Source organism: Homo sapiens, chromosome 5, assembly GCF_000001405.40.
Source record: "Homo sapiens chromosome 5, GRCh38.p14 Primary Assembly".
NCBI lineage: Eukaryota > Metazoa > Chordata > Mammalia > Primates > Hominidae > Homo > Homo sapiens.
The window spans coordinates 16,167,612-16,187,520 of NC_000005.10; the positions used below are offsets into that span (position 1 = coordinate 16,167,612).

The following is a 19,909-nucleotide window of genomic DNA, read 5'->3' on the forward strand; positions in this document are numbered from 1 at the left end:
CCAGAATATTGTCTGACCAAATACCTGGGCTCCCCATGATACATAAAATTAACTCTCACACCCAGTTTATTTCCATTAGCATCATTAACGCAATCTATAATTAACTACTTTTTGTATTTATTTGCTCACTTGCTTTTCTTCCGTTCCTTACTATTGATAATTTAAGTTCTAGAAGCAGAGGCCCTGCTTGTTTTACCAACTCTGTAACTCTTCGGCCTAGAACAGTGTCTGCTATGTAGTAGTGGTTAACGTGTTGAATAAATGAAAAAAGAATGAGAAAGTACCAATTATCAATTAAAAAGTAACAATTTCTACTATGAGTAACATACTAGAAAACAACAAAGAATACTTTGAGGCTACCTGTAGAACATGAGTAAAATCATCTTCCAGACCAAAAAATAAACACACACCGATCTGTCACTGTGTCACATTATATGAATAATCATGCATCCATCATCACTTCATACTGGAATTCTCCCCACAGGCAATTCAAGGGATGGTTGGTGTTTTTACCTGAAGCTTACTGTGGTAGAGCTTTATCATGTCCAAAATAAAGAAGCATATTTCTCTTTCAAGTTTTCTTTTCGGTAACAAATATGAGTTTCAGTCTTAGTAGTATTCAGGTTGAGGGCAGCAAGTAGACAGGAGGCAGGGAGATTCATCACCCATCCTTATATGTTTCACCAAATCAAAATTTTTCCAATATCAAAGCGTCTTTCACCCCATAGCTTAGGAACCATGTCACCCACAGCTACCCAAAAAATTCTGGCACAGTTAGTTGTAATCTTGTTGGCTTCGCATGTTTTAATGTCTTTCAATTACTTCTCAAATTGCTGAAAACCTTGTCCAGATTTGAAAATGAATTTAATAGAAGCGATGGTAGTATGACTGAGAGAGACCACTGTGAAAGCAAAGACTGTTTAGGAGGAGACGGAAAGGTGGTTTTGCATTCAAAATTTCTTTCTGCTTCCAGGGGAAGAAAGCGTGGCATGGTTGGTCCAGAGAATGCCATGCAGGCAAAGACTTCCACCCTATTCACTGTGCCCTTCTCCTTCTTTCCATGGGGCTGGAGGTCTCACTGGAAACCTCCCACCTACTCATTCCCACACAAAAGATGAGAGTCAGATGATGATAGAAAAAGGAAGAAAGAGATGGAAGAAGGATAAGACAGATATTTACTGAATGCTCAATACAGGCCTGGCAAATCCTCTGTTCTTGACTACTCTAAGATTTTTATTTCCTCTATTTAAAAAAAATAGGGCACTTGTATACATATTTATGTTTTTTAAAAAATCTACAAATATAACATAGGAAACAAGTTAATACTAGGGAGAGAGTTGGGGGAAAGAGAACAGGGCCAAATTATTTCCTGCAGGCTTTGGAAGATTGGTTAGTAAGAATATAAGAAAAATCCCCTCACATTGTGTGAAAGATGCTTCCTTCTTAAAATCTTTTCTAACAGGTTGAACAAACCAAGGCAAGCCCGTGTAAGTGTTCTGAAACAATTCTTCATTCATTTGAATGATTCTATAGCTCAGAGTCATGACACAAATGGAGTAAGGAGATGAAATCTTGGACAATCACAAGACCATATCAAACAAAGGAGTGCCAGGAGGGTTCCTGGAATAAGGGCTGGATACTTATGGGCGACATCCTCCTCACCCCCGACACCCCATGCCCAAATTAAGCACTTGGCCACCTGCACCAAATCAGTATACCGAAAAGAGAAGAAAAACTAAAAGGCACACTAAGGCAACAATGGAACTCTATCGTTATAAGGAAGGGACATCCATTGTACAGGTGTCATCAATAAAAATGAACCAACTCAAAGAGGTAAAAACTAGAGAGAAAGCATCTTTTTAGATGGTAGTTTTCAAAGCATTCCACTCCTAAGGGAAGGATGGAATAAGAAATGTGTCCTCAATAAGTTCCCTTATTGACTTTGCTGATATAGAAATGTTTCTGGGTTCCTGTCATGTCTTATCATATAACAGGTTCCAGTCCACCTCTTCTTACATCAAATTCACTTGGCTAAATCATGTGGAACAGCTTTTGAATTATGAGTTATTCTCACAGGGAAGATGTTGTCAGATATCCAAGGATACAGAAAGCACAAACCACAGTGCAGTTTTTCTTGGCCAACTCCTCTGTGTCTGCCATCCATTTACTTGTAATTGCAGGTGATTATCTACTCATCAGTCCATTCCCTGCTATTCTGAAGGGTCGGAAGTACTCTCATTTTGCCCTCAGAGTCATCCCATTCTACTCTCAGAAGGTCCCAAAATAGAAAGAAGCCGAGTTTCCTTTATACCAATCCCTTTAGCAAAACATCAGTCACATCACAGCACAGCTACATGCCAAGGCAACGCAGGAAATTAGTGAGGAGGAAATAGCCTGTTGTCTGGCTACATCTCCCTGGGTTTGAGTATTGTATTCACCGGTGGAAAATCATTTTTGAAGTTATGTTACAACCGTGCAAACTGCTCATCAAAAAAGTCACCTAGTTTTCAGCCAGGTGGCAGATTTCACACCAAAAATTTATATCCAGTAGACGCTCTTAGCAGCTCATCTATATCCATGATCATACAGTAAAATTTCCAACAAATTATTCAAATTCCCTGAACAAATGCTAGAAGAAACCCTTCAAACAGTGACAATCTCAAGAAAGTGAGGGTGTCACACATGGGTAATTCCACATTCACAGACTTTTTTCATGACATTTTATTTTTTGAAAAGAGCAGATATGTCTCACTGGAAGCTTTTATAAAAAAAAATTCTGGGTTTTAAAAAATAGATCCCGTGTTACTATCAAGGCTTTTTTTCTATGGTCTGAAGAACTGAACATACTTGCCCAGGCAACTTGAGAATAGCATTATTGGAAGATCAACTTGAGATACAAGTTGAAAATTAACAACTATTAGATGGCTAATGTATGAGTAATGAATGCGATTTGTTTTCCCTAAATCATACTCTCACTCAGAAATAATATAACCTCCATGGTTCTTGCCACCTTACAAAAACACTCAGGTATGCATCTATTAATTCATACCATAAATATTCACCGAATGCCCACAAAGTGACCAAGAAAATGAATGTCAGCAATATTGAGCTGTGTTATATAATGTGCTCTAAAACCTGTCCCGCTCATTGCTATGCTTGTCCCTCAGAATACAAGCCCAGAAACTCTAAGCAAATTAAAATAATCTCATTTCAAGACATTCAGAAGGGAATATTCCAAGGATATTTACTGCACTGCAGACAGCCTGGGGTGGGGTAAGACCATTCTTTGAAATGTATTCCAGGACTCACAGAGAGGACAGTGGCCTCTTCCAAGGACACTTATTCTGAGATGCCCCTGCTTTCCACTCCTGACTTAACCAAAGCGACTCCTCAGAATTAAGGATTTGAATCTGATACGACCAAGAAACTGTTTCAAAGAAGCAATGGTTTTAATATTTAATACGGAAAAGTTAATAGCATTTCTTTTATTTATTTATTTATTTATTATTATACTTTAAGTTTTAGGGTACATGTGCACATTGTGCAGGTTAGTTACATATGTATACATGTGCCATGCTGGTGCGCTGCACCCACTAACTCTTCATCTAGCATTAGGTATATCTCCCAATGCTATCCCTCCCCCCTCCCCCAACCCCATGGAGCTAAGTTGCCACCGTTTTCTAAATAATGTAAGTTTATAATAAGTTCATTCAAAATTACAAAGAAACATAGAAATTTAGAAACATCCCACCCATTGAATTTTCTAAGAGGTTGTAAAAACCTAAGTCCAAATCAATACTCCATATGTTTAAATTACTACCAAATGCAGCTGAGTGAACCCAGCTCGCTACCTGTTTTTGTGTGGTCCATGAGTTTTTACATTTTTACATGGCAGGGGAAACATTGTTTAAAAAAAGAATACTATTTCCTGACACATTAAGATGATATGAAATTCAAATTTCAGTCGCTATAAGTAAAGTTTTACTGGAACACAGCTATGCTCATTTATTTATACAGTGTCTGTGGTAGCTTTCATGCTAGGACAGGAGCTTATAATGGCCCTCCTAGCCTAAAATATTTCCTGTCTGACCCTGTAGAGGAAAAGCCTTCTAACCACTAATTTAAATAGTAATACAAATGTTATCAAGTGAAGACAGTTTGGAGCCATGACAAGGCTCCTCTACCCAACAACTGCCAAATCTTCTTGTCATCCTGACTTGCTTTAACCCATAAGTCGACCCATTTCTGCCTAGGATGTTCTTTCTTCTACAGGAAGCTGTGTGGAGGGGCAAACAAAGCACAGAAGAGGAAGGTGTCCAAAGGGAAATGCACTTAAAAGGGCTGGAAAATGTAGAAAAGTCGAAGGTATGTAGAGAAGAAAGTCCTGAAGGGTATCACCTATAGGGTACATGTTGTCCCCAAGCCTCGTTCTAAATAGTTTAAAAGCAAATACCATGGCACAATGCCCTAAATGACCTTTGGCTCCTTTTACCAGTGTTTCAGAACCATCTGGCTTAGGAGAAATTGTAAAATCACTGTACATGTAGTCTGTACAGTAAATAAGATGGTTATAGTAGTATACAAAGTAAAATTTACATATTTTATTCAGCAGAAAATCATTCATTTCTCCTAGTGAGTAAAATACGGATTCTTATGTTTTGAAAATTAGTAAGCAAATGAAACAAAATTAACTCCTAAGGTGAGAAAATTGCCTCGTGATGTGCCGCTCATTTTGACATTTTTAGTTACCTACAAAATATGCCAGGATAGACATTTAAATATATCTCAGCATTGTTTTTTAGTTATTCAGCCACGGTAATAAAACACGTCTCCCCTCAGCTTGTCATTTGCTATTAAATCTGCAAAGAATGGAAGTAAGAGCAGCACTTAGAGAAAAAGTCAAAGGGGTGGCTCACCGTGTCACAGGCTGGACATATGCAGACATTTTTAAGCCATGAAATGCAAATGTCTTGAATGATTTCAAATGACAGCATGCAATGCCAATACAGTTCATGCTCTGATGTTTTCTTGATACATTTTCAAAACCAAAGTCAGTTTTCAATGGTAATTTTTCAGCTCCTCCTAGTGCATCAGCTACATCCTACTAACAATCAGTTCTGAAGGTGGAAATGCCCCTTTCATGATGGAGCCCCATTTAGAAAAGTAATGACCATGGGTTCCTCAGAAAGTTAATTAAAGTTCTATGTATGTATGTCTTACAAGAAGGTCTGGAAGCTGTACCTAAGAAGGACAGCCAAATAAACCCACCTGCTATCTAATTCCCCTCTGATTCAAATCCATTATGATGAATCCCAGGGTTTTAAGAACATGGATAAAAATCAAAAATAATCTCAAGTCCTTCTTGCTAAGAGATTTCCCAGTCATTCTTACTGCTATAAGAAGATCTGCTGCTGACAGCACATTAGAAGAGTTTAAAGGAAAACGAGTAAGGGAAAGGCTAATAAAAAACAGTATAGGCCAATAACAAAGGCCAAAGCCTAATCCCTGAAAAGGTCTATGGACCACATGCAAGTTTCTAACCCTTCCCAAGTAGGCAAGGCAGGCCTTCGGTGCTCCAAGCAACAAAGGAGGAAGAAGGAAAGTTGGTGAACATCATGATTCCTTTTGACTCCCTTTGACTGATGCTCAGCCATTACCCCTTCTGTGACTGTCCCCCAGAAATCTCAGACTTCTCTGGCCTCCTGCCTACTCACAGGTTACATGCACCCACCTGACAGGGGCTGTTCTAAAGCATAAACAAAGTATGGCTGCCTGACCTTGAATAGTGCTGTCCTGTGCTTGGCCACATTTAAGAGCATCTCATTGCTCCAATTATGAGTAGACTCCAATAAGGACATAAATAAGACCTACAGTGAGGGACATCTGGAGAGTAAATATGCTCACTGCACTGAGATCATTATATCTCATTACACCTGCTTTTAAAAATGCTGATTCATTCATCATGGATGTCAACTGATTTGCTCAGAAACTGAGGTGGGATCCCAGAAAAAGCAGGGAATAAAAATCCAAGAGTAAAGAAGGATATGGAAAGAGAAGCCATGAACTTCACTTTGGTGACACAATGAGAAATAAACAAGAAGGACCTGTGGCAGTGAGCAAGTGAAGGTCCCATCCCTTAGCTGACTTAACAGATCATAATATCCAGAGCCAGCATTTAAATGGCACCTGCTATGGGCCAGGTGTCATTCTAAGCATTTCACACATATTTATGTGTCTAATTCTCAAAATAAGGTATAAGACAGGTAGCATTGTCATCTCCTTTTTGAAGATGAGTCAATGGAGATGCAAAGAGTTTAAGTAGCTTGTCTAAAATAACAGATATTACCTTCCATTTACATAGCTTTTTCTTTGTTTAGGCAGTACAGTCTGTCTTTTATAGAAAGTTTAAAATTTCACATACAGTACTTTATCCCATAAATGTTATCTCTTCAAAGATCCATCATGCCTCTGGAAAAAATACTGAAGCCATTCATAAACTGGAATATGGCTTAATTAATGTATAATGCTCCCAACATCTCAAAGTAAAATTGATCTTATATGTCCACGCATTTCACTAATTTTAGGTCAGATTCAAAACAGAACTAGGCTTTACTCTCAAATTGTCCTTAATGCATCATCTTGGATATGTTAATAAATAAAATAGATTCTGCCAGTAGATAGGAAGGTAAATGCATTTTAATTACCTCAAATGTCTTAATTAACTCCTACTGCTAATGATACGGCAATTAAGGTTTAACTACGTTGTACAGGATACATCTGCTAGCTTTCTATTGGGTCATGCTGCCGAGCATCACTGAAATCCAATGAAATTGGGAGGTTAGACTCCAATTCTCAAAGAATTCAAATCTCAATGAGAAAAACAAGTGAAACTAAGGTGTTAGGCTCACTGCAGCGTGTTTTCCTCACACACACCTGCTTCCTGATAACTGCTCTTTGCCCTTCTCTGTCCTCATCTTCCTCTGAGCACAAGGAAATACAACACGGTAATACTTGCTTGTGAAAGTGCTTGAGGATATACATCAAGCATCACTGGTGAGTTCTTGCATACATGGTTTTAAGCTCCTTTAGTTCAGAGTGCTGGAAGGGAAGTTATGGTGATATGTGCTGATCTACCCGGACTTTATGAGGACCAAATGCAGAGACCAGGTCAGGAAGGCATGGCCATTTTGGAAGCTAACTCCTATGGGGGATAAAGATGGCCACTCTCTTTAAAAGAAGGGCCAGACTCCAGAAGTGGAGTCTATTTCCCCTTCTCTTGAATCTGAGTTGGGCCTCTGTCTAGCTTTACACAAAAGAATGCAGTAGATGGTGAACCACGTCACTTCCAAGGCTATGCCTTAAGAGATTTGTAATTTTCACTTTCATGGTCTTGGAACCCAGCTATCACAGTGAAAAGCAGCAGCCACATGGAGGGAGAACTGACACACCAGGTGGCAGCCCCAACTGAGCTTCCAGCCAACAGCCAGCACCAAAACCAGGTCAAATGAGCAAGCCTTCTTGGATGTTCCAATCTGGTTAAGCCTCTGGATGATGATAGCTTCAGGTGATGTTGCATGCAGAGAAAGACATCTCAGCTGACCTCCATCAACCCATTGACTCTTAACAGATCATAAATGACAGTTGTTGTTTAAAGCACTAAGTATTGAGGTGGTTTATTATGCAACAGTAGACAGTCAAAACCTTCCCAAACCATCTTAGAGATCCAGGCTGAAACTATTTCCTGCTTGCTACAGCCTTTTCCAGGACAAGTCCTGACAGATCCAGAAACATGAAGGTGGCTAGGATGGGATTGAGAAGCACACTTTCCAACAGGGCGGCTAAGACAGTGGACCCTGGGCCAGACTGACTAAGTCTGAATCTTGGCTTTGCCTTTTACTAGATAGGTACCTAGTAGAAGTTACTTAACTTTACTGTGCCTCAGTTTCCCTTTGAGTAAAATAGAAATATTCCTCACCTCATAGATTTGTCATGAAGATTAAATATCAGTATCCATATATACAAAGCATTTAGAACAGTGCGTGGCAAAGTATTTGTGAATATTAATATTTGTTCTCTGTTCTGTTCTACATCCAAGAAACCACCTATTCACAAGGGATTGGCCTCACACAGATACATGTGCATCTGACGTAGTCCTGGAAAGTTATTTCATCTCCAGCATGTTCTGAGCTATCATCATCACATTCATATCAACTTTGTTTCTACGTATGATTTGGTAGGTCACTACAACAATCAGATCAGGTTACAGATAATAGTAGTATTTACAGATGTCATAATAAAATTAATCCTAAATATGCTAATAGTACCAGATTAGTTTTTGGGTTTTAGTTCTTTTTGGGGAAAAGGAAAATCATATGCACAGTTTGGGAGTTACTTTTTAAAAATAACTATTGAATCTTTTTTAAATGAAGCAAGAGACAGTAGTAACCAATTCTTTTTGCTATAGGATTAAAATTAGTAAATAGTATTTTTTTTTTTTGCCCCAGCTCTTGATCTCCTATTTTAAAATGTCCATCAAGTACTTATCTCTATTTACTTCAAAATTAATCATCCTAAATGAATTAACATATAGTTGCCATAAGTTCAAGCTCTTGAAATAGTCTTCTGTTTCAGCCAATGAGTGTCTGACCATAGCTCTTCTCATGGAACTTTTCTCTAGAGCCCAAAACTCTCTCATTTCTTATTTTCCCACATACTTCTACTGATAAAACTGTTGTAGATCCAATTATACTACCTATATGCTAGTCTTTGAAAATGGTTTCATCTGTTTTTCAAGACAACTATGATGGATTCATAAATTGATACCCAAGTAGTTCAATCAGAGGTTCTTGGAAAAGGTGTCAGGTTTGTGCCTGTCTTCAGCATGATAATATCACTCATCCATATTATTTATGCTTTCTCTTTCCAATTATTCACAAGCCCTAGGTCAGCTTGAGAAATACATATTTTCATTTTGTGGTTGCTAATCATGCATTAAATGGAGACTATCAGATATGCAAATTAATTGCAAACTATATAAAGGATACAAAAATTTTAAACTATGAAATTTAAATTATTAATGCACTAGTAATTCAGCTTGCAGGTTCCTTCTGCAAACACTGGTAGTTCCACCTATATTACATTGCTGAATAAAAACTAAATTGGGTGATTTAGATAGCAACAAGGAACACGAGAATTTATTACTTTTCCCCCTCCCAACTTTGCAATTCCCTATTCTTTTTATTTCTATTACTCCTTTGTCTCTGTTTTGAACCCTATTCTTTTATGTCTACTTAACTTCAGCCTACCAGATAACATTAATTACACATTATTCTGCTTTTCCTTAAGATGTCATTCTTAATATTTTATATTCTACCTGTCTGTTCAAAGAACCTGAATCTGTTTCACGATAAATTTTAGGCCTATTTTCCAGGGCATTTGTAGATTTATGTGTATTATGTTATTATGTGATTATACACAAAAAGTTTAAGAATATGTAAGAATACTAGTTCAGTAGTATTATTGAGAGTAACTGTTGGGAATACTTCTGCATCCACTATGTAGTTGAACACAGCAAAGAAGAAAATCAGCCAAAATTTAACTGCAAAAGAACATCACATGATAAAGAAAGCCTGGTTAAGTGGAAATAACATTCAGATTAGAACTAATAGGTTCAACCAAAGTTTTCATACCAGTGAAGTTTTGTTTTACTTGTATCTGTTCTCCATAAATGGAGCCCATTAGAGCTTAAATGCTTAAGTTAACAAAATATTAATAAAATCAATTGTGTAACATTTCTAATGAATAAAATTGATTTAAGTGTGGTACAAGTCATTTTACCAACTTGCCTTTTTAGAAAAAAGACTGGTATCATTTTATCAATAAGTAAAAAATTAATAAAGGAAACCATTCGATTAAAATGTCTTTTGAGTTTCTCAGATAAAATGTCATGGCTTTCTCAAAAACACATGTTTACAAATTCTAAATCTTGGTTTTAGTGTAATTTTCACAAAATGTTTTTAAGTAGCATAAGTAAATATCCTTAGTAATAACTAAGCTTAAGTGCATTCATGTTAACAAAATTATTTCAGGAAAAATAAATGTTGAAACTGCTTACCTGGCAAGGTTGTTTCATTTTAATGGCTATAACATGGTATCTATAACAGCAAAGTTCACAGGTCCAGGAACCTCTCTCACTGATCCATTTTAGCAGGCACAGCTGATGTGTATACCGAACTGACCCATCACATCGGCAGGGGTTCAACAACTCACCCTAAAAAGAAAACAGCTCAGTGTGAATATCTGTGTCTGTGTCTCTATTTTAAAAACCTAATGCTTCCTTTCTTTTCTTTCAAAGCCATTTACTCAGGATACAGCATCAGGCTCTATCATAGGAAATGAAATTAAAATTTTATACCTCTGATGGGAATGAAACTAAGTCTTAAAACTATTTCAAAGACATTGCTTAGAGTTATGACATAAATGTTCTACCAACATACAAAATGTCTGCAAGATATAGCTCCCAATACCCGTGGGGGAAAGCTGTACTATTAAATCTCTTTAATAACTTTTAAGTGGATGGTCAGATGCATTTCCTCTGCAGTTATTCTTAATCATTGCTAAAGAAGAAACGCATGGCATCCCAGAAAGCGGCATTATGCTTTTTTTTCTAAATGTAGCATCATAAATATTGTCTTAGGGCACTATATTCCTGAAAGCCTGTATATTCTTATGCAATTTCCTTACTTTTAAAAACATTACACCTAATCTTTTCTCAGACCACACATTTGTAAGGGACATATGCTATCATTTCCTCTGCATGATTACTCTCATATAAGTTTGCATGCACCTACAATGGTGTTTATAATTTTAGAATTGTGTTGCTGTCAAAATATAAATTGTTGGCATAATAGCCTTTCTTTCAAAGTCCATTCCTATTTCTCTTGTAAAAACTATCACATGCTTTTCACATCCGTGAGATTAAGTCACCCAAATTTGCAGTAAGGAAAGACTCTGCCCTTTCTGGTTGTGATATGACATCTGTCTCAAGATACATCTGTAGAAAACGGACTTCACCTTACATCTGACAGGTTTGCTTCTAAGCATAAACCAAAATCCATCGAATAATTCACAAAAGCCGCTTTTGGCATTATCACTAAAGCACCTGAGGAACATGTAGCTCCTAAGCCAGGAAGGAAAAAGGAAGTGTAGATGAAATTAAACCCAGTATTCACCACTGGGACATTTCTATTTGCCTTCACAGGAAGGGAAAGGGGAAGGCATATTGGAGCCAGCGCTCACAGGGCAGAACCAGACGAGCCTCACTGGAGGCAAACTGGGAGGTAGGCGTGCGCTGTCCGTGGTGCTGAAAGCTTGACCGGCGCGAGCTGGAGCCGCCACCGGCTGCCTCGGGGTCTCGCCGGGCCTTACCTGCTCCGCGCCCTGGAAGCAGATCTTGCAGATGGGCTGGTGGTGCTGGTGCTGGTGCCCAGCGCGCTGGTCGCCGCCGCCACTGCTGCTGCTGCGGCTGCTGCACACCGAGCGCGTCTCGGGCTGGTCTCCGGCGCCCCGCCGCTCGCGCTCGCCGCCCGCGCCGGCCTCAGACTCCCCGGGGCCGCCTTTCGCTGCTGCCGCCTCCGGGAGGCGCCTCGGACCTTCCCCGGAGTCGCCGGCCGCCGCCACTTCCTGGCCGGCGGGCTGCAGGGGCAGGGGCGGAGGCGGCAGCTCGTCCGCTCCCCTGCACCGCGGGGCCACCTCCCCTAGCGGCTCGCTTGGCCCCGCGGCGCGCTCGGGGGTCTCGGGGGACGCGGGCAGCGGCGGCAGGTAGCGCGGGGCCGCGGGGACCGGGGCCGGCTCTCCCGGCGGCGGCGTCGGCGGCGGCGGCGGGGGAGGTTGCGGGGGAGGCTCGGCGTCCCCGCTCTCCGCCCCGCGACACCGACTGCCGCCGTGGCCGCCCTCAAAGCTCATGGTTGTGCCGCCGCCGCCCTCCTGCCGGCCCGGCTGGCGGGCCGGGCTCTGGCTGCAGGGAAAGAGAGCGCGGAGGGGGCGGGAGGGAGAGGGGAAAAGGAGGGAGGGGGCCCGGACGCCTGGGGCTAGGGGGCGGGACGGGGAGGGGATGCGGAAGGTTCTGCAGCTGCGGCGGCGGCAGGCGCGGCCGTTCGGTGGAGCCGCCGGCTCGGCTCTGATGGAGGCGGCGCCGAATTCGGCTGCGCGTGAGAGCCGCGCCGCGGAAGGGGGGGCCGGAGAAGCGAGGGGGCGGGAGGGAGGAGCGGCGCGGCGGGGGTGACGGGGCGCGGGCGCGGGGTGGGCTGGGGGCGCGGATCAGTGGGACGGAGTTCGGGGTTCGGCTCCGAGCGGGCGGGCTGGAAGTGGGGGATCCCTCAGCCGCCTCCACGGGCCGGCCCCGCGCTCACGTCGGTTCCGGGGCGGATGACCCCTCTCCAAACGGCGCAGCGCTGCGGCTCTCGTGAGCTGGGAAGTAGGGGGCAGGGGAGAGGCCGCGGGTCCAGAAACCGTTACTGGATGGGCCGGTGGGATGTGGCGCGGGCCGGGTGGGGCGCGACAGTCTGAGCCGAGACCCGCGTGGGCTTAAGGGTGCGCGAGGCGGGTGCCCTGGGCGCGCCCGAACTGGCTGAGCAGTGGAGCGGGAAAGGGCGCGGGACCCGGGACTGTAACCGCCACTTCCAGGCCCTCGCTCCCCGCGCTTGGAGCCCTCAAGGGCACTCTCAGGGATCCTCGAGAGCCTTAAAACAGAAGTCTCTGGAACCTGTGTCCTCTCCCTGTCTGTCCCGCCCTCGAATCCCTGTGTCCTCCTCACCCGCTCCCTCCTGCAGTGAGCATCCCGGGTTGTTGGTAAAGATCTTGGTGCCTGGGAGGTCGGAGCTTCGTCTCCTGAAATGGTTTATACTAGTGAACCCTGGCGCCACGTTCTGTGGCTTATAATCACTTTCGTCGTTGCCGCATGAGGAAGCAAATGACACCGCCCCTTACCCTGGAAAAGTGGCTGCAGCCTTCCCCGGATCTTAGTTTTACTCACCCCGAAGTCAATTTCTCGGTAACTCCACCCTGCAAAACCTCTGTGGGACTCATCTTCAGGGCAGAGCTAACAGTTTTCTTTCTGGAAAAAAAAAAAAATCCCTCACCTGCAGGGAACTAGGCTGAGAATCGTGCACATGCAGTAGTTTCCAAATCCGTGCAGTGTGAGATCATAAAGCACCGGATTTATATGCGGCAGTGTGTCTATCCGAATTTTCACTGATGTGACGCTTTCAGTCTTTGACACAAAGACACAGAGCAGTCATTTTTGGCAGCGTTTCATAGCCGAAGACCCAGGATCAGAAAGGCAAAATAACTTGTTCAAGGTTATAGAACTATTAACAAAGAACTTCTGTGTTCCCTGACCAGATTTTCTGGTTCAAATGCCAATAATTTTTTCTTCCAATCCTTTCTTCTGCCTCCTAAAATAGTATTGTAGTACATTGTGTGTTTGGCGCCATTGATTCCCACTAATAGATACTCTGTAATGGCTGAGATAAACTACTAGCTTAAGTTCGTTTTTCCATTTCACGTTTTGGCAGTAAGAAGTATATTTGATTCATAAAGAAGACCTACCTCTTTTGACAGAAATTGGTTCCATTTGCCAGAGAGAGAAGGTAGTGAAAAATAATTCAAGAATGTTTTGTCACAAATGGTCTCTGATGAACTAGTTTCCAGGAATGTCCTCTAACACTTAGCCCCTTCAGACTGGCTATTTTTGGTGGCAGAGTGGCAGGCAGCAAGCACATTTTTAAAACAACAATCTCCAGGAACTTACCACGTTGAAGAAATGTGGTTGTCGATATGCTTTCATTTTTGGTCTTCACCTGTCAGAATGACAACGCAAGTTTGTGTATTGCCACAGTCAAGATAATCATAAGCCTTATGATCATCATAAACCTTCTTCATAAGTTCTCGAGTTAAAGACTGTCTAGATTTGTACAGAATCCCCTAAATAATTCCATTTATGACTAGTAAATTTCTACCAGGTGTGATAAAGTGCATCGGTACTCGAAGGACAGCATAAAAGCTATGGGTTTTGTATAAACGGTGTAGAATAATTCAGACAGCGAAGCGGCATGGATAAAGGAGAAAAGGGCCACAAGGCTAGATGTGTCCTCTCAGTTAATTGTTTCTGAAAAATAAAAAAAAAAATACATTTGCTTGCTAAATTGGGTAGCCACGTAAGATTCCTTCCCGGTTTCAATGACCTCCAAAGCTGACCAGTCCCTGAAGGGAAACTTGCTCGTGATCTTCAGTTAACCCAATGCATTTTCAGTGGGTCCAGGAAAAACACCTTCTTTCTAACTTTGGCTACATCCTCTGTCATAAAATTATAAAATAATGGAATGCAGAAAGGATGAATTCCTCTCAGCTGCTGGCAACCAAGTGGAAGAGAGATGGAGACACAGACATCAGATAGAGCAGTGCGCCGGTGGCCACTGACAGCCATCAGTAGCAAGGCGCATCTGCCAACTGAAAATGAATGAGGGGAAATGCAGGTTTATCAAATTTGAGCAAATATTGAAAGGATGATCAAATCTTCATGATGCCAGTAAACCAGTTGTTCATTCATTTAGTTGTTTAAGCCAAAATCCTAAGTGTCATCCTTGACTTCATATCATACATTCAGTATACAAAAATTTCTTTCAAATGGACTTTCAAAATATTCACCAAATTTCACTACACCTTTTCACCTCCATCCCCACCAACCCAATTCAAACCACCATTATAATGCACGAAACTGTCAAAACAACTTCCTGTCTCCCTGCTTCTCATTCTTGAGCTTACACCCTACACCAGCCAGGATGATCCCATTCAGGTGTTAAGTCTAGTCATGTCATCCCTCTACTCAGTACCCGCCAATGGCTTCTCATCACACTTAGTGTAATACCAAAAATTTTAGCAGCCTCTGCAAGTCCTCATTGTAGCCTCTGGCTGCCTCTCTAAAGACCTCTCCATACCCTCCCCACCAGCCTACCCTACCCTCCTTGCTACTCATTTCTGCTACACTGGCATCCTTGCTGTATACCAAGTACATCCCCTCTACCCATCTTCAATTATTATGGCTCACTCCCTCACTTCACGCAGATTTCTGCATTTCATAAAAAACACCTTCCGGCCAGGTGCGGTGGCTCACGCCTGTAATCCCAGCACATTGAGAGGCCGAGGTGGGTGGATCACCTGAGGTCAGGAGTTCCAGACCATCCTGGCCAACATGGGCCAACATTGTGAAACCCTGTCTCTACTAAAAATACAAAAAATCAGCCGGGTGTGGTGGTGGGCACCTGTAATCCCAGCTACTAGGGAGGCTGAGGTGGGAGAATCACTTGAACCTGGGAGATGGAGCTTGCAGTGAGCAGAGATTGCACCATTGCACTCCAGCCTGGGTGACAAGAGCAAGACCTCATTTCAAAAAAAAAAAAAAAAGACCTTCCATAAATTTTCCATCTGATATAGAATTTTCCACTCTCATTTTCCCAGTTTTACTCTTTTTCATCTCACCTTACTGCTCGACATTATATATGGATATATTGTGTGTATTTTGCTCACCTAATGGTGTTAATTAGTCATTTGTTGCCCTGTGTAAGTGAGGTCGATGTCTTGGATCACCTTGATTTCATGTTCACCAAAGACATGTCAGAAATTCCAGCATTTGTCAATTCTACCCTTAAGTTTGGTACCATTTTTCTGCCAATCTTTCTAGCTTTGCCTCCTGATTCTCTCATTGTTTTTGGTAACTGCTGGTTCTTCCACTCATATGGGCTTCCAAATCTAAGTCAGCCGGCCAGTCCTCTCTCCTTCCTTATTGGGTGCCTTGGTCCTCACCAACTTATATTAACCTGGCTTTTCTCTGAGAACCTAGTATCTTCTCTGAAAGCTCACTAATACCTAAATTCTAGATACAAATACCATTCAATACTCGCTAAGTCCTACCAAAAATACTTATTTCAACCTCCCACAAAATGTTTTAAGACCTTCACAACAATAAAATAGTATATTAAGAGCATGTTTGATTTGTAGAGGATCATATTGCATTTTTTTAAAGTAATGACCAAGCATTGTTTTCTTCCCTTAGTCGTCTCTGCCTTGAACCTTGGAAACAAGTGCTTTCAACATAAGCGATGTGAAGGCATTAAAACATGTTGAATGGCTGTGTGCACAGGATATCCTACACCTGCCTGACATCTGGAATGCAGGTGAAGCAACCTGACCTGATGGAGCCACCCACACTTTAGAAGAATCTCAAATACAGCCAACCCTGATCTTCCTCAGCTGAAAATCATCCATCTACCAAACTCACAAATTAAACATAACGTAAATATTATTACGTTATGCCTTGTGTTGTGGTGTTAGGCATGCACAGATCTGGGTTTATCCCCTTGTGCTAGACAGTAAGTCACTTGGTTTGAGTCTGTCTGTTTCAGTGACCCTTTTCTCTAAAGCATTTAGTTAACATGATGGCTGACATCAGCGAGAACTCAGTAAATGTGGATTAAATGAGAAAATTCAAAAGAATGATTACTTACCTTTTTAAAGTTATCAATGAATTCTATACAAATAACAACTTAAAGGTCACTATGTTTCCAGGAAGTTTGGGTGGAGAGCAGAGGATTGGTTTTCTAGACAGAGAACTTGTTAGACTGAAACAAATCTTTCTGTGGAAAGTGTTGGGTTGCTGGCCTGAATCCTGGCTGCTATAGGGTCCCTGCCTCTTTCTTGGGCCCCTGACCTTAGAAGAATCTTCCTTCAGATAAGAAGAGGAGGCAGCTCCAAGTTTACGGCAAACCACCAGCCTCACACACCACTCCCAACCCACCCTTTTTCCAGACTTTAAAACATCCCAGAAAAGGATCATGGTTGCTCCAGCCTGGACCATGAGCTGCTGAGCAGTCGCTGAAAATCCCTTCAACAAAATGACATAGCTGATGTGAGTAAATAGTAATTCCTTGAAGGAAGAGAAATTCTATTTCCAGGGGAATGACTGCTTGACAGATAAAAAGAGACACAAGTATCCCCACATCTTGGAATTTGACCTCTAGCCGCCACAATTGACTATATTTGTCATCACCTTCTTCTTGTCCAGCTGAACTCCTAAACCTGCCACCCCACCCCTAGCTAAGCTAATAACATGAAACTGTGCCCCAAAAGATAGTGAATATTTACTGAAATGCAAAACCAAGAGTTATAAACTATAGCCACAGACAAGACTTCTTAAATGCAGGAAGTTTTGAATAAGTGGGCACAAGTTAATACAATCAAAGAAAAACAATATTTGATATTTTGGACATGAGCCCAATGTGCTGGCGTATATGTGTGTGTGAGTGGGCAGGTGGATGGGGGAAATCTCACTAATGATGGGTGTCATCAGGAAAGAAAATCCAAAAACAAAACTACCATTCATTTGTACAATTAACAATTAGAAAGTGACAAATGTTTAATAATACACTTGGAGTGATACATGGTTGTACCTGACCTCAGAAAACTCATGGCACAACTAAGAAGACAGAGACATAGACATAAACATGTCACATAGCTTGAGTTCTAGTTGGAGGATTAAAAGTATTATACAAGTACAGAGATCTAAGAGTTCTGCAGAAGAAAGATGATGTTTTATAAGAAAGTTCCTCGGAGTGGGTCATTTGAGCTGGGATTTGAAGGCTAAATAGGAGTATGTCAGGTGTGCTTCATATCAGCAACTAACAAAATCAAAGAGACAGAGAAACTGCTGTAGTTGTTAAAGTGACCCCATCTCTACAAAAACTACAAAAGTTATCCACGGGTGGTGACACACCCCTGTGGTCCCAGCTACTTAGGGGTGCTGAGGTGGGAGGATGACTTGAGCCCAGGAGGTTGAGTGTTCAGTGAGCTGTGATTGTACCACTGCACTCCAGCCTGAGTGACAGAGTGAGACCCTGTGTCAAAGAAAAAAAAAAAAAAAGAAGTGACAGAAAAGTATAAGTGATAAGTAGGACAAACCTACCACATATTGAAATAATAGAAGACAAGCACCTTTTGCTGGAAAAGCATCACTGCGGGAAGAATTCCTTCCATATAATTACCAAGAAGTCACTATTCCATCAAATGCAACCGAGAGCCACCGAAGTACCAAGAAATAAGCAAATCGGCCTCTAAAAGACCACCACAGCCCACCCCACACAATCACATAAAAATCCAGTTACTAATGCTTCCACTTTCCTCTCCAGTGAGACTGCTAGATATGCTTATATCTGACTTTAAATATAATCCTAATAAATATGCTCACCTGATCTTCCTGTCCACAGCAAATGGCAAATAACAAATCTGGAAATGTAAGCAGAGTAGCAGCATTATGAAATAACAGCTAATATTCCTGCCCTGACCCCAAAGAAAGCAGAACCAATAGTTTTAAACCTCAGCAGGAAGCATTCATTTAAGAAGAAACAGCTCTATACACAGCTGAGTAGCCACTGGAGGTGTTATTTTGCTTTGTATCCTGATATTCATCAAGCATGTGAGTCTCCAAGAAAAGTTTAGACCTTGTTGATTAAACAGTAAAGGATGATGAGAGGCTTATTCAGAAGATTCCCTTTCAGTATGGTTAATTGCAGATTTTTACCATGTAAAATAACCAGATTAAAAAGTCTTCTCATACCATACTCCCCTCCTTCCACCTCCAAGCTTTGGTGGGTGCACCTGTTAGGCCTTGCAGTGCCCCTGTGAGCATGCACCCTCACCACCCTCCTCCAGCTGACCGTAAGTCACTTGAGGGCAAGTCATTTATATTCATGTAACATTTATAGTTTGTCCCCAGTGCTTAGTTCAAATGCCTTGGCACATAATGGGTATTCAAAAAGGGTTTATATAATGGACAAAGGAAAATGAAGTGATTGTAACACTTTTAAAGAAGATTTATATTAAAAATGAATGAGCTTCCCACTACACGAACACTTCTTTTGCACTCACCAATGAAAACTAAAATTGATTGATCATTTACTAGGTCAGGCACTGTTCCAAGCGTTTCACACATGTGAATTTAATCCTCACCACAGTGCTGTGAAGCAGGCACTATTATGTTCCCTATACCAAGGAGGACAGTGAGGCCCAGACAATGTGCTGTGCCCAGGCAGGCAGCCGGTAAATGACAGAGGCTGCCTGCACACTCTGGCAGGCTGGCTCCCAAGCCCATGCCCTATCCACTCTGTCATATACCTCCAGTGTTATATTATTCATAGAAGACCAAAAAAAGAAACCTATGCGACTCACTGCTGCTAAAAGGGGTTGAGAACGTCAGTGTAGCTTCCCCGGTTTACAAAAAAATCTTAGTGGTTGCACAACGTTGTGAATGTATGTAATGCCACTAAGTTGTACACTTAAAATAGTTACAATGGTCATTTTCATGTTATGTATATTTTACCACAATAAAACATTTCTTTTTAAATCCTGCAGTGTATTTCTGTAATGCTATATCCAGGCCCTCCCTGCGTGAGTGACTGGCGTATGAGGAGCACCTAGAGTCTAGGTTCCTAGGCACCTCCTGAAGCTTCTTTGTATTTGCCTTCCATGAGAACTACGTTTCCAGCACTAGAGCCATTTTTTAGGTTGAAAGTGTTACAGTGGGGCTCACCCTCCCTCATTTTCCACCTGAGTCCCAATATGATCGCCTGGATTCTGGAGTGTGGGTGAAGCCAATGACCACTCCCATATGCAGAATTTACCAAATCGCACACCTAGACTTGATGCTGCAACCCTGGAATTCACTCCCCCATCATTAGAAAGGCAGGATTGAAGGAAAGGTTTCTTTATACAGAGATGTTGGCACTAGAAACGAAGCCATCGAGAGGCAGGGGTTTGTATTCCCAGCACCTGCAACCAGGATCGTCTAGACACAGCAGAT

General features: G+C 41.9%; 1 protein-coding gene and 2 long non-coding RNA genes across 4 annotated transcripts in view; 1 reads left to right on the forward strand and 2 right to left on the reverse strand.

Moving 5' to 3' along the window:
* MARCHF11 (membrane associated ring-CH-type finger 11) overlaps positions 1-12,180 on the reverse strand; it is a 112,653-nt gene extending 100,473 nt beyond the window's left edge. For both annotated transcript variants that reach the window (XM_047417230.1, NM_001102562.3), the window contains exons 1-2: positions 11,428-12,180; positions 10,115-10,270 (exon numbers count right to left, since the gene is read on the reverse strand). In XM_047417230.1, the coding sequence (XP_047273186.1) occupies positions 10,115-10,270; positions 11,428-11,964 (693 nt within the window). In that variant the 5' untranslated portion in view covers positions 11,965-12,180. The remainder of the gene's footprint in view (positions 1-10,114; positions 10,271-11,427) is intronic.
* A 153-nt stretch (positions 12,181-12,333) lies between these two features.
* On the reverse strand, positions 12,334-13,193 carry LOC105379640 (uncharacterized). The gene is made up of 3 exons (XR_001742613.2): positions 13,034-13,193; positions 12,815-12,888; positions 12,334-12,468 (listed from the first exon to the last, which is right to left on the reverse strand). It is a non-coding gene; the product is annotated as an uncharacterized LOC105379640 (long non-coding RNA).
* On the forward strand, positions 12,630-19,450 carry MARCHF11-DT (MARCHF11 divergent transcript). Its single transcript, NR_149044.1, has 2 exons — positions 12,630-12,829; positions 16,112-19,450. It is a non-coding gene; the product is annotated as an MARCHF11 divergent transcript (long non-coding RNA).
* Positions 19,451-19,909: the final 459 nt, after the last annotated feature.